The 14,808-nt window shown below is 36.3% G+C and overlaps 2 protein-coding genes across 5 annotated transcripts in view; both read right to left on the bottom strand.

Annotated features, from left to right (window-relative positions):
* Window positions 1-3,095: 3,095 nt before the first annotated feature.
* Window positions 3,096-14,808, bottom strand: part of PPP4R2 (protein phosphatase 4 regulatory subunit 2) — a 72,456-nt gene continuing 60,743 nt past the window's right edge. For 3 of the 4 annotated variants that reach the window (NM_001318026.2, NM_174907.4, NM_001318025.2), the window contains 6 exons: window positions 13,164-13,257; window positions 11,234-11,271; window positions 8,547-8,621; window positions 8,148-8,291; window positions 7,153-7,442; window positions 3,096-6,897 (listed from right to left, as the gene is read on the bottom strand). In NM_001318026.2, the coding sequence (NP_001304955.1) occupies window positions 6,572-6,897; window positions 7,153-7,442; window positions 8,148-8,291; window positions 8,547-8,621; window positions 11,234-11,271; window positions 13,164-13,257 (967 nt within the window). In that variant the 3' untranslated portion in view covers window positions 3,096-6,571. The remainder of the gene's footprint in view (window positions 6,898-7,152; window positions 7,443-8,147; window positions 8,292-8,546; window positions 8,622-11,233; window positions 11,272-13,163; window positions 13,258-14,808) is intronic. The other variant, NM_001318027.2, reaches the window with a different exon arrangement.
* EBLN2 (endogenous Bornavirus like nucleoprotein 2) lies at window positions 8,957-10,635 on the bottom strand. Its single transcript, NM_018029.4, has one exon. The coding sequence runs from the start codon at window positions 10,210-10,212 to the stop codon at window positions 9,394-9,396; it is 819 nt and encodes a 272-aa protein (NP_060499.3). The 5' UTR covers window positions 10,213-10,635; the 3' UTR covers window positions 8,957-9,393.

Raw genomic sequence — 14,808 nt, 5'->3', positions numbered from 1 at the left:
AGGCTCAAAGAAATATTGTAACTTACACAAAATGCCTCAGCTGGGAATGGTGAAGTTGTGACTTAACCCATATCGTGCAACTCCCATGCCACTCTCCTCTGCCCATTACACCATGCTACCTGATGGTCCTGCTCACCTAAGGCCAAGCAGAACCTGCCTCAACTGAGAAGCCTTCCCAGACTGCCACAGCTGCACCAATATGGTTCTCCTGTGCACCTATGCAAGTCACACACCAATTTGTTAAAATCTTGCATTGCTTATTTTCTTCAGGGTGATTGAATTCCTCAAATATGAAATTGGACTAAATCTACTCTTTTTAGCCCCCCAAATACACAATTCATGAAAGTTGCTACCTAACAACAGACATGCTTTTCTCCATCTGTATGTTTTGTCTACCTCTTCTTAACTCCCTTTGTTGGGATAAGTGAAATCTGATAGTCATCATTTCATGAAATTCCAAATGAATACTCAAAACACCTGGAAATCTTTCTGTGCTGTTGTTTTTTAGAGGGAACTTATGAAATATACTGGAAAATATTCCCTACCTCCTATATCTGGATACACTTCTAATATTCAAAACACCACCATCATAATGATCCCAAGACACTGCAAATTCTATTGCAGTTTGAATCACCCAATATTGAGATATATTTAGTTTATGCTAAATCCCTGACTTTAAAATAACTGACATATTTGGCGAGCTGCTGGATCTTAACACACTTCCACCTTCAGTCTTTACTTGCACTGCCAAAGCTGTGGGAGAGGCATTTTCGACAAACCCACAGTGGAAACTGACCCACATATTTCAATAGAAATGTTACAATTGCTACATTTAACCACAGTAATACACTCAACATTAAGGCCTAAACAGCTTCTTGTATAATAGCCTCAAAGTTAGCCACATTTTAAATAATTTACATGAGAAACTGTATTCTGAATTCCAATCAAGTAACGTTTTCAGGTTGAAAGTGGGAAACTGCATGCATTCTTAAATACACATGGGAATTGTTAGTCACCAACTAAGCTTACCCTTCCACTCTGTAGCATTGCATGAAATGCAAAGAAAAACAGTTATCATCCAAAATGAAGACAGAATACTGAACCCATATTTATCTTTCAAATTCTCAGCGATTATAGGCAGCATCAAAAGTCTCACAAGCCTACTCAACTGCAAAAATTTCTTGCTGCAAGTATTACTGAATATCAAGTCCCATTATACCATGTCTAAAGCAGGACTTGGGTAATTTAATGATATATCCTCCTGTAGCAGCACCTATCCCCTGTAAGAGGCGGGTGTGCTATTGTGCTTTCTATAGGCAGGGGGTAGCTGGTCTCATTCACGGAAATTTCCTTTGTTAAGATGCTCACTTTCTGGTGATACCATCCAACTGCCCACTGATTTCCTGGCAAGGGCATTCAACAGAATGTACTGCTCCCAATCCCACAAACCTAGTAGCAAAGTTGCAGGGGTGACCTTAGCACACTTGAAGTGGGCAAAGTAGACACAGAATCGGTAAAACATAGGAATCTAAAGTGGGCTGTGGACCTACCACTTGCTTTCAATTTTGTTATCACTTGTCAAGCATGGGGCTAGCCTGTGAGGTTACAAAGATGAGTAAAACAGTGGAGATGGCAGACTAGTATACAGGGAATTGCTGGCATTTTGGAATATTCATTACTTTTAGTTATGGGAAGAAAAACTCTGAAAATGTACAAACAAAACCTAAAGATGACAAACTACTGCTAAAGTTTAAACTTAAAACGTTCTGAAGAATAAAAGGGAATTGCATACTCTTCATTTTAAATAGGGAAGAGTTCACGCAGTTTATTCCTAGCCAGTGGAAAAATCAGTCTTCCCATCATTAGCCCTGAACTACGTACTAGTTATACTATTTAGTAAACAAAATTAAGTGGGGGTAAGAGATCAAATATGAGAAGCTGAAAACTAAGACATTCTTAAGGTTAGAAACACACCGACTAGTACTCTCCTTAGTTCAGAGCCACAGATCTTACCCTCTACTGTAGCTACTGTGCGATAATATGCCTAGAGGGCCAGTCATGGTGGCTCATGTCTGTAATCCCAGCACTGTGGGAGGCTGAGGCGGGCAGATCACCTGATGTCAGGAGTTCAAGACCACCCTGGCCAACACTGTGAAACCCCATCTCTACGAAAAACATATATATACAAAAATGAGACGGGCATGGTGGTGCATGCCTGTAGTCCTAGCTACTCAGGAGGCTGAGGCAGGAGAATTGTTTGAACCCGGGAGGCAGAGGTTCCAGTGAGCCGAGACCGAGATCATACCACTGCACTCCAGCCTGGGCAACGGAGGAAGATTCCGTCCCAAAAACAAAAACAAAAAGAAGCATAGGAAAGGAGACCCACAGTTGAAAACAGAACCCTCCTCTCCACTTCAGGTAATTCTACACTTCTTACCATGTAGTTGCCTGAAGGTGGGATTTCAAAAATGATTTTTTTTATTTTTAAAGACGGACTCTCGATCTGTCGCCCAGGCTGGAGTGCAGTGGTGTGATCTCGGCTCACTGCAACCTCTGCCTCCCAGGTTCAAGCAATTCTCCTGCCTCAGCCTCCTGAGTAGCCGGGATTACAGGTGCCCACCACCACACCTGGCTAATTTTTGTTATTTTTAGTAGAGACGGGGTTTCATCATGTTGGCCAGGCTGGTCTCGAACTTCTGGCCTCAAGAGATCTACCTGCCTTGGCCTCAAGTGCTGGGATTACAGGCGTGAGCCACTGCGCCCAGCCTTTAAAATGATTAACACAAATATTGTAAATATATACATGTAAGCTAGTGCCAAATTATACCAGTGGAGACTTATTTAAATCTGGATTTTGTTGACAATCAGCATGACTTGCCTGGCAAAGAACCACAACTGTCAAGTCCTGCTGGAACACTTTGTCACCATGTAAGAAACAGGGCTGTAACAAAGTCACACATTGAGTTTCCTCAGTTAAGGATTTGAGGTGGGTGGTGGCGCAGGGTCGGGGGGGGTTGGGGGGGTTGGGGGGGAGTCGGAGTGGCAGCAGGGCAAATAAACCATTATGGCACATAAAATAATTACACACATAGAAATATTCTAATTTATATTTTATTGCATTATGAAAATAATACATTTGGCAAAGTAATCTAGGCTCCAAGTTGAAATAAAAGAAAATCCTGAAGAGTGTACTGATTTTTAAAATGTGAAATAGTAAGATGTAGTCTAACCAATACATACTAGCACTCTTATTAGGCCAAAACCCAGCAAACCTAATTTTTATAATTCCATATGAAATTACAAGGTGTTTTGCATTCATTCATTTTATGATTAGCACAAATCTTGAGAACTGACCCTCACCTTCATCAAAACCAATGTTAAATTCCTGTTCAGAAGACAATTTGAAACACTACCGAAAATTTTTAATTCCTTTGGTTTTGTAAGTTGCATTTTCATCCTTACCATGTTACATTTTTTTCATAATCAAACATTGTAGCAGCTTTAGATTCTGCCCAAGTACCTTTAAGTAAACTAGTATATTACATTTACATTATTTGAAAAGTTGATTTTACAAATGCAAAAATGCATAAATACATGCCTATCTACACCGGCAAAACAAAATACTCTGAATCTCAATGCTTTAACAAGCCACACCTTCTGGCCGAGGATTTCTGGGATGCCTTTCCAAGCCACAGGGCCTGGCTGGCAATTCCACTACTCCAAAACACACGTCTGAAAGGTGTAGTTACAATAAACCCTAAGCAGGTTAAATTTATCTAATAATCAACATTTAAAATATGACATTTTCACTACTTCTGCTACATTTTTCAGAACTGAAAATATATTTTTCAAAAATGTACAAGGATATTTTCACTTTTTAAAAGGGAAAAGTGCTAGAAACATAATACATATATATATATATATCTCACTTTCCTCATCACCATCTTCAAATTTTTTTTACATGTTGGGTTATAGTCTAGAGAACAGGTAAGCAATCTGCTCAAGGTCAGAAACAAAATATCTTTAATCACTGAGGTCTCCATTCTTCATTTAGATCTTTTAACAGGACTTTGCTTGATATATGTTAAGAAATATGCCTAAAATCACTTCTGTTCAGAAGTGAATCAGTTACTATTAGAACTGACATTTTCATTAAGCAAAGTCTGTGTTAAGTGCACCTATGAATACCTGCGGAAATTTACTTCCAAATGGCCATCAATATCTAAAACCAGCTGAACAAGGTTTCCCAATTTAACTACAGAAGTATTCCACCTACCCTAAAGATATTCCATGAGCATTCTACAATTATCTGTATAAACAGCAACAAGTTTGATCTATGATCAACATATGAATATCTAATAAATATTAAAACTATTAAACTATAGATTAAAATGCAGATCTCTCATAGAGTTAAGTGATGTCATTTTGGTACATTCACCATTATTGTACTTTATTTAATAAAGAAATACATTTGCCCTTGCAAATATAGCAATTGCAAGTTTACAAATAAAACCACAGACCTCAAAGTCATAATGCTAAATCTTCAACTTACAACCAACAAAAGTAAATCAATTTGTTTACAAATGGTCCATGGCACTACAATTAAAATAAAAAATATCAAAAGGTCACAGGATCTTAGGTAAGTTTACTGACAATTTCATAAATATTCAAAAGAAAATTTCAAAATTTGTAAACTTAAATTTGCCTCATTTTAACATTTTTGAAAAATTTTTTAAAAATTTACAATGGTTAATTTTTCTCCCCTCTTGGGTATAGTAAATCAATATTCAGATTTTATTTCAACTATTAGACATAGTCATAAATATATCATCTAGCTGTTGTGAACCTGACAGTCAAGTCAGTCAGTAGTATATTATCCTACAAACATAAATGGATCCAAATCGTTTTGGTATTTATAGCCATGATGATTTAAGTAGTCAAAACGCAAAACTTGTGGTTGCCCCCCAAATCACCCAAAAGCATATTATACAGTGTCAGAAACTGTTTGCATCAGTTTTAGAAGCTCATCTGTGTAGTTCAGGTATCTGAAACTAAAAAAGGGGGGATTCTTTCATATTTTGATAAAAATGTAGTCAAATATTTCATAACATTAATATTTATTGCTTTATATGAATACTGTATTGAAAGCCCAAGCATTCAGTTTACACACAGAAATTATACAATTATATACCGCTTCACAAAGGCAGTGAACACATTACATTCTACAAAATCTACTTTACAGAAATTTAAAAACTTTAAATATCAAAAGGTACAGCTGAAGAAACAGGTATAAATTTGGCAGCCAGTAATTTTGACAGGGAAGTTACAGCTTGCATGACTTTAAATATGTAAATTTGAAAATACTGAATTTCGAGTAATCATTGTGCTTTGTGTTGATCTGAAAAATATAACACTGGCTGTCGAAGAAGCATGTTCAAAAATATTTAATTCACTTCAAAATGTCATACAAATTATGGTGGTTTCTATGCACCCCTAAAGCTTCAGTCATTTAGCTCAGGTACATACTAAAGTAATATATTAATTCTTCCAGTACAGTGGTGTTTCATACCATTGACATTTGCATACCCTAGAATAATTTAGAAAGACATGTGTAATATTCACAATGTTCAGAAAAGCAAGCAAAAGGTCAAGGAACCTACTTGGTTCTTCTGAGATGGTCTCATATCAGCTTCATAAACATTCATTCTACAAAATAGTAAGCTAACATTTGAACACAATTTCCAAGATAAAGCATATTTTCTCATAAATAATGAAGTCTTTTTCTCAGGCACCTCAGAAGTATACAAAAGAATTTGAGTTTGAACAGATCTCTTGGAATGTGTTTAACCTGGTATTTCAACAGACTTAAGATTTCCAGGGTTTCACAAGGGCCAGATTTTATTTCAATTACTCAGAAGAGAAAGAAAATGTCTTCTGAAAGAGGTGAACTCAATCATTACCAATAGAAAAAGTATCCACTGTATTCATCTCTTATAGAAACAGAAAAATATAACATTTCCCCCCTTAGAATTATATATATATATATATATATATGTATGTATATATGACTTAAAGTTCCATTGTACGTAGCCAAACAATAAAATCTGGAAACCAGCATGAAACCCTATAATTCACATGTTAAAATGTTGAAACTATGACCAAAATATGAAAACTGCTAGAGCTATCAGAAAGAGACAAGACAAAAAGCTTCTTGCATATGTATAAACTAAATGTGATAATCTCAAAAAACTTTTCAAAATTGTAATTACTTTCCAGTTTAAAAACTTCAATCCTAAATTAAAAAAAAAAAAAAATCTATACACAAACCACTGATTTGCCCAGACCAAAAAAAGAAAGAAAGAAAAGTCAGCGGTAAGGTAAGCAGGACCCAGAGGAGCTGATATTCACAGTTCTTACATGTACAACTCTTTCAGGAATTATCCATAAAGTACTTTATTTTACAACCTGCTTCTCTTGTAAAACTAAAGGTCCATTTTATTACACAAAAGTTTTATACAGTGTTAAAACCAGAACTGTATGTAAAATACTGCATCTAAATGTTTCTAAATAGTTAGTCTTGTTCCATTGGTTCATCGGTGACTTCTGTGGCTTCGTCATCATTTTCCATGGATGATTCTGAAAGAATCTCTCCAGTTTTACTGGAATTGGATCCTACTAATTCTTCTGTTTCACGGCAGTCAGAAGAACTACTACTTACAGGGCCTTCGTTTTCACTACCTTCAGAATGTAGCAAATCTTTCTCAGCTTGAGACACATCAGATTCCTCCATTTGATTATTTTCCTCAGAAGTCTCTTCATTCACAGTTAAGGCATCATCAGATTCTTTTTCTTGATTTTTTCTTTCTGGGATCATTTCTCTTGATGTCATAAAAGACTCTAAAAATAAGCAAATGTTGTTGTAGTTAAATTGTATTTTCAAAATACCTCCACAGTTAAGTTTCATGAATTCTGATATTCTATAGTTCAAATCACATCCCCTGAAATTCAGCAGCAACTACATACAGGTGGGAGAAAAGCCCAACATCAGCATTATAAGGAGTTCCATTACGTAAAATTCTTTCACGAAAAAAATGAAGTACAAGAATTTGAGGATCTCCTTACTCCACCCTTTTACAGATGGTCTCTAAATACCTTCTTCTTCCTCTTCATCCTCTTCTTCATCCTCTTCTGTACAGTGCTGCCGGGTACAACGGCTATCTTTGTCTTTATCCTGAGATGAAGATGATGCTTCTGTTTCTCCTACCATAACTGAAGAAATTTCGCTGGAAGTCGTTTGACTGGCTGTTTCTCTGACTTCACCTTCTTTGTCAAACCTGAGTCTTTTTACCTCATGCCCCTCAGCTTCCACAGCATCTTCATCTGGATGTTTATTTTTCAAAGGGCTCACTGAGGAAACTTCTGATTCAGAGGTCGAAGAGTCACTGTAAATGTTTTTTTAAAGTGTCATTAATAAGATTATTTTCCCCATCTTCTACATCCCCATTTTTAAGGTTAAATAATGTTTTAAATTGTATTTCAGTGTCAAAGTTAAATTATAACACCTGAACAAAGAAAAACACAAGAGAATAATTTCAAGGTAAACTAAACTGTTTGATGAATAATTCCCAGTAGGACTCAGAAAAGCTATATGACCTTTCTGTGCAATTCTCCAGTAAGTTAAATATTCTCCTACAATAAACCCGCAAGTCTTCCATACGGACATACTCTCTTAAGTCCTCTCCCTCATTTAGTCTTCCTTCCCTTAATGTGATACAGAAAATTTGAAGATATAAACAAAAGGTGTCCTTTTATGAACTACAATGAGAAACGACTCACAAAAATCAACTTATTTATAAAGATCATTTCTTTTCAAGTAACTTTCAGAAACAACAAATGAAATGGATCATCATATCTACGTTACTTTTAGACCCTACATAAACAGTCTCCACAAATTAGCAGTTTTAAGTCTTGTCTATGTCCACCTTCAACATTTGCTACAGCTGCAAAGAGAAGCCAGTGCTCCTATAAACCGCATGAAAACCTTGTTCTGTCCCTCAGAACTTATAAATAGTAAGTGATAAGTACTGATTAAATGTTAACTTTAACTTTTAATAAAAACACTGTTTTTAAATATAAAACATACAAACCTGTGATTTTTCTCCTCATTTTGCTGCAAATTTGCCTCTTTGCTGTCTGTGCTCTCAGGCAACCCATTTGTTGTCATGGGGGCTGACAAAGAAACCTTTGGTCGATTAAGTGGCCTGGGTGTCCCAGGCCCATTTATATTAGACCTATAATAAGATAAATGAACATCATTTCCTATTTTTATAAAAAGTCATCCCTCTTAAGGTATGTTGATGTGAATACATCACAGAAGTATTTGCTGCAACTTTGTTTTCAGGCCCATGCCTTACCAAATTAACTAATTCTATGTAGTTCATCCTATGGTGTCCATAAAATGCCCAATTTTTAAAAAGTACACTAAGCCTGCTACTCAAAATCAGGACAATGCAAACTCTGTAGGTATTAAAAATCTAGAATCTCACCTCTCAGTATAGCTTGGTGAATTTCCAGGAAACATAACACCATTCATTCGATTTAAACTATTGGAATTGTTTTTCCTATAAGAAAAGAAAATACACTTGTGGATGACTTAATTTTTTTTTAGATGGAGTCTGGCTCTGTCACCCAAGGTGGAATGGAGTGCAGTGGTGCAATCTCAGCTCACTGCAACCTCCACTTCCCAGGTTCAAGCAATTCTTATGCCTCAGCCTCCCAAGTAGCTGGGATGACAGACGTGTGATGCCATGCGCAGCTATTTTTTTTATTTTTAGTAGAGACGGGGTTTTGCCATGTTGGCCAGGCTAGCCTCAAACTCATGACCTCAAGTGATCGGCCCACCTCGGCCTCCCAAAGTGCTGGGATTACAGGCGTTAAGCCACCACACCTGGACTTTTTTTTTTTTTTTTTTTTTTAAATAATGAGAATTAGTTCATGTTAGGAGTGCATGGATCTATGATTCCACCCAACACTCCCCCCTCAAGATCTTACGGGGTAGATGCCATTTGAAGCAAAGGGAGTGTGATGGTTGATCCTGGTATAACATCAGGAGCTTTAAATCCCAAAAATGTGGGGTTGCTCATCTTGGCCCAGTAGTTTGCCGCTGTTGCTAAGTTTGGGAACATTCGTGGTGACAGCTCCCCAATAATGGGGTGGCAAAGTACACCCCCAAACTCAAAATATTTCCCCAATGCCTTTTTAACCATTGTTTTTTTTCTCCTCAAAGACTGGGATCTCAGACACAATGGCCCGTAGAGCAATGGAGCCATCCATGCACTGATCTAGAAACATTCTCACAGCATTAATAGGTTGTCATCTGTGCTTTCTTGGCAACTAACTTGACTTGCGTAGCTTGTGTAGAGGGGATTCAAAGTCTCCAAATAGAAGTGTGAACATTAATTCTCCAACCCATGGTCTTGAGCTGATCCAACCTATGGCTGATTCTGCATTGCAGCTGATTAGCAGATCAGCACTCTCACCATGTGAAAGTCTTCCAATAGATGCCATCATTGCCTTGAATCGTCTCTGAACTTGGAGACTGCTGGTGCAAATCTTATCACTTGATCCAGCCGCAATGCCTATCAAAAGGTCACAGCAGTGGCGGAGAACTGATGACTTCTCAAGGGCAATAAAGTTAGGCATATCTTTGAATCTGCTAGCATAAGGAGTACCCCTTTCCTCGTTCTCATTCCCAACCACAGTATTAGACCTCTTGCTCACACCAACACTCAGTAATGCCTGGTGTAACCCATCAAATATGAAACACAAGAATACTAAACTTGGGGTCACAGGGTGGAAATGAGATTTATGTGCTGGGTCTAGCATAGACTTGGCTGCTTTTTTAATGTCCTTAATATCCCCAATGCTGGGTTGGGGTTCCAATGCATCCAGTGGATACTGTCTGTTTTTCCCAGATAGCTCAAATCTTCCTTGAAGGTCAGGGAGCCCACTCCTGTCCATTGCGTCATCTCCTGGGCTGCTGGGCTGTGAGTCCTTTCTTAGATGAGACATTGTGGAAAATTGGTTCCGACTTAATTCTTTAATTTTGTTAAGAATCATAGGTCTAAAAGATCTTTTGTAAGATCTGTCACAGACCCAAACAAAAAGACTGTGAGAATTAACATAAGCATACAATTTAAGAAAATAACCCATTATTAGTCGCTATGACTTGACTCTGCACTTCTTTACCATTTTTCCAAAATACCTCACGTTCATGAGCAAAACAAAACATATTTTGCTTCATAAAAGAAATTTTTATCATGTATACATTTTAATAGTTTTTCTGTCAAGAAATATAGTATGGGATTATTTTAGTATCTTATTTAGCAACATAACTATATTCTTGGGAACATTCTAAAAACAAATTGACTGGGCTGGGTGTGGTGGTTCACATCTGTAATCTCAGCACTTTGGAAGGCCAAGGCGGGAGGATCACTAGAGTTTAAGGCTGCAGTGAGCTATGATCACTCATCACCGCACTCCAGCCTGGGTAACAGAGTAGTCTATGAAAGCAGAGCCAGATTAACCTTAAACCAATGGTTCTCAGCAGGGGACAACCTCCCCTCCCTGCCTTTCACATCTCCAAGAGACATTTGGCAATGTCTAAAGATATTTGGAGAGGGGAACACTACTGGCATAAGTGGGTAGAGGTCAAGGACAGTGCTAAACCTCTTATAATCCCCAGGACACCCACTCACAACAGAATTATCTGGTACAAAATGTCCATAGTTCCAAGGTTGAGAAATTGTATCCAAATTTAATTCTTACTTTGCTATATCTAAATCTTGACAACTGGAAATATTTTCCATCATAAAGAGAAAAGCCATCAAGTAGTTATTCCAAACATGGGAATTATGCCCTAGAGACACCCTGGAAAGGCATCTAGAATGGCATCTCAGGGCAATGAGTGCCACCACAGTATGTAAATCCAACAATATTAAAATTACAGTAAATCACCAATCTCTTTAATCCAAATCTCTTTAATGGAAAAAACATATAGATAATGTTATTAGTAATATTCTACTTTGGGGACTGAATGGTAGGTTCACAAGTATGTTATCACACTTAATTACATATTAAATAAATTCAGTCTATTTTAAGAATAATATATTAGAAGCAATAAAATGATTAAATATAGTAAATAATATACTAGAAATAGAAAAAATATACTTACTCTGAAGAAGGATAAACACAGCTAACAACCATCACATTCTGCAATAACAAAAATCAGTGATTTAGTATGAAGAAAAGTACTACAACATAAAGTTTCATCATTTTTGTTTCTAAAATCACTCTGGTGGGTTAAATTCCCATTGATTCTAATTTTGCTAGTAAAGGAAAATGGTTAAAAATGAAAACTGGTGAAACAGCAAAAACTAAAACAATAACAAAGGACCAAAAGAGAATATCCTACTCAGCCACTAATTTTTTTTTTCCTATACTTATTTTTTACCCTAATCTAGTTATTCTAGACCCGTAACATCATACACTATACGTAGTAGAGTAACTAAGCTCAGATGGAATCAACAAAGATGTTGAGAGATTGAAGTACTTAAGACATATGTAATTGATTTTCCTTACAAAGCAACACCCAATCCACGGCTTGTTGTGTTGCATCATATATCCCACAGAAAGAGACTCAAACCTTTTTTGTAATATATTTATGATCTTCCCAGTAAAAATAACTTTACTAATATTCAGTGTTCACTGAAAGTTTAGTATGAGTCACAGTAAGTGTTTTGCATTTAATCCCCCTCCCAGCCCTATTATTAACCACATTTTACAGAGGAGAAAACTAACTGGCCCAAGGTCACACAACTATGAAACACTGCAACCCTGATTTAAAGGCAGGGCACCTGGTATGACTACTGTAACATATTGCTACTTTATCTGAAAATCTCCAAAATGTAATTATTACAACTCCTGGAGCTGAAAAGTAAGTACTGATGAGCCATCTCAGTTTCCTGGCCTTTGGGGATATTATTCAATTGAGTGTACAGAGGATCAACAAAATATATTAATCCAGTATGGCCACAAAAACTACTGTAAATCACTATGTAATGGTTTTTGATTCCTGTTCCCAGGGTAAAATAAAGTGGATTTGAACCAGATCCTTAAATGAACAGGGGAGTGTTTCCGGACCAACCATCAACTGAAAATTAGAACTCATTAGTCCAATCTTGGTTCTCACAGGGCTTCCTTCATTTTTCACTCAAGACAAGTCAATTTCTTACTTTTCATTCCCTTAAACACCTTGAATCTTTGTTCTTCACACCATTTCCTTTTTTTTTTTTTTTTCTGAGACAGAGTCTCACTTTGTTGCCCAGGCTGGAGTGCAATGGTGCCATCTCAGCTCTCTGCAACCTCCGTCTCCCAGGTTCTAGCAATTCTCCTGCCTCAGCCTCCTGGGTAGCTAGGATTACAGGCGTGCACCACCACGCCCGGCTAGTTTTTGTATTTTTTGCAGAGACAGGGTTTCACCATGTTGGCCAGCCTGGTCTCGAACTCCTGACCGTGATCCACCCACCTCAGCCTCCCAAAGTGCTGGAATTACAGGCATGAGCCACCACACCCAGCCCACACCATTTCCTTTATTCAGAATACCCTTCCCTTATTCTAACACTCCCTCAACCCCCTCCACACACAAACACTAATGTTTATCTCTAAATCTGACCTGCATCTTTCTACTCAATACCTCATTTACATGCTTGGCACCAGTAAGTTTCCAAAGTTATGTACCTTTGAACTCCAGAATTGAGAAAATGAATTCCATGTGTAAGTTTATAAAACACTCTATAAAGTTAAAATAGCAATTATAACTTCACAGAACCTTTAATAAGTTGATATACACTATGAATTTCCAAGAAATAATAAGCTGCTTTCACCAAACTTCAATGACCAACACACAAACCCTCCTCTACCCGGTCCTATTAAATCTCTCTGTAAAACAGAATGCAATTTGGAAAACAATTTGGGAAACTCAAGGTAGGCTGAAAAACATATTTCAAGAAGTGGTACCCGAAACAGATCTTACTCAATGTTCTTTTCTAAAATAAAAGCTATTACACCACAGCATAATATAATTCCAATAATAAAATAAATACCTTTTCTACTCCTCTGAGAAATTTGTCTGTTCCTGTATAGTTTCTCCTTGGATCTGTTAACAATTCACATAGTCGCTGAATAGTAAAAGGGATACTGCAAAAAAATATAATTTTACAGTGTGAGATCACTGATAATCAAGAAAACGAGGAACATTATTTCTTTTGCTAGGTAAAGCTGTATCTAGTCACCCATGTATTAAGCTACAAAAGAAAATGCTATAATAGGGAAATAAATGGATGAGTCATTTAAAAAAAGACAATAAAATAAGCATACCTTTCTATTTAACAAAAAAACCATTCTCCCTTCCTTTAAAAAGCAATAAAGGTGGGGGGGGAGGGAGGGGGGAATGGTTAACGGGTACAAAAATATAGTTAGAATGAATAAGATCTAGTATTTGATAGCACAACAGGTTGACTACAATAATTTATCGTACATTTTAAAATAACTAAGAGTATAAGTGTACTGTTTGTAACACAAAGCATAAAGAAACGCTTGAGGTGATGGATAACCCATTTACCCTGATGTGATTATAATGCATTGTATGGCTCTATCAAAATATCTCATGTACCCCATAAATATGTAAACCTACTATTTACCAACAGAAATTCTTTTTTAAAAAAAAAGCAACTTAGAACACCCAAAATCAACAGAAAGCTTCAAAACTGAGGAAAAAATTTTTATATAATAGAAAATTCTAAATCCTGATAATTTGATTTTTAAGTTTACAAGAGAGGTAACACAAATAATAATCAAGTTGGGGGTTATTTAATATATGTATTTTTCCTCAAGTATTCTTCTGCACTCAAAGGTTTCTTTAAAATGTTCAAACAAAACTACAAATATTTTAAATGTGGTTCTGCTCCATTATTGCAATTTCATATATAATCTAAGTTTAATCCAACTTAAAATATACACAACTTTTATTTAACTTTACCAAATAATTTCACTATACCTCAATTTTTCCTTGACCACAGTAAATACAAAACTGATATAAGTTGGAACTAAAATCATTTTATAAATATTTTTAAGTTTTGAGCTCATGTAGCTATTAGCATTCATAAGAATTACAAGCTGAACAGAACAGCAAAGTTATGAGCACGAGGTACGACAAACGCAGCTAACAAATACAAACAAATCTTCAGACTTCAGTGTCTGCCATACCAATCTATTTATTCTCTTTAATGAAAAGAATTACAAAGCCTCAAATTAATAGTTAACATTCACAAAGGTCTTCATTTTTTATAGGCAGTGTGATACAGAATTTTCTTCCACCACAAGGTATAGTAGTTAGTGAGTTAAAATGCCAGGACTCAAACTCAGTCTCTCTAACTTCAAATCTCATGTCCTTTCCATTGTACCACACGTATTTTACAAAATTATAGTTGTTTATTTTCTAACTGGATAAACTACATTTGGTTCTCATATTCTTTGTGTCAATACTATTCTTATGTTCAAAGTATAAGATGTGCAAAAAATTCTGAAAGTGCTTAAAGTGCATGTTATTCATATGAGAACAAATGTTTTTAGATAAATTTGAGAGTCCAAGAATCAATCTTTTGTCTCAAACCTAAAATCGAATCCAAACCTAAAAGTGAGAAAACTGTTCTACCAAAAGACAAGGCACAGAATAAAAGATTAAATGTT

Source organism: Homo sapiens, chromosome 3 (genome assembly GCF_000001405.40).
Source record: "Homo sapiens chromosome 3, GRCh38.p14 Primary Assembly".
Taxonomy (NCBI): Eukaryota; Metazoa; Chordata; class Mammalia; order Primates; family Hominidae; genus Homo; species Homo sapiens.
This window is presented reverse-complemented; position numbering and strand designations above follow the sequence as displayed.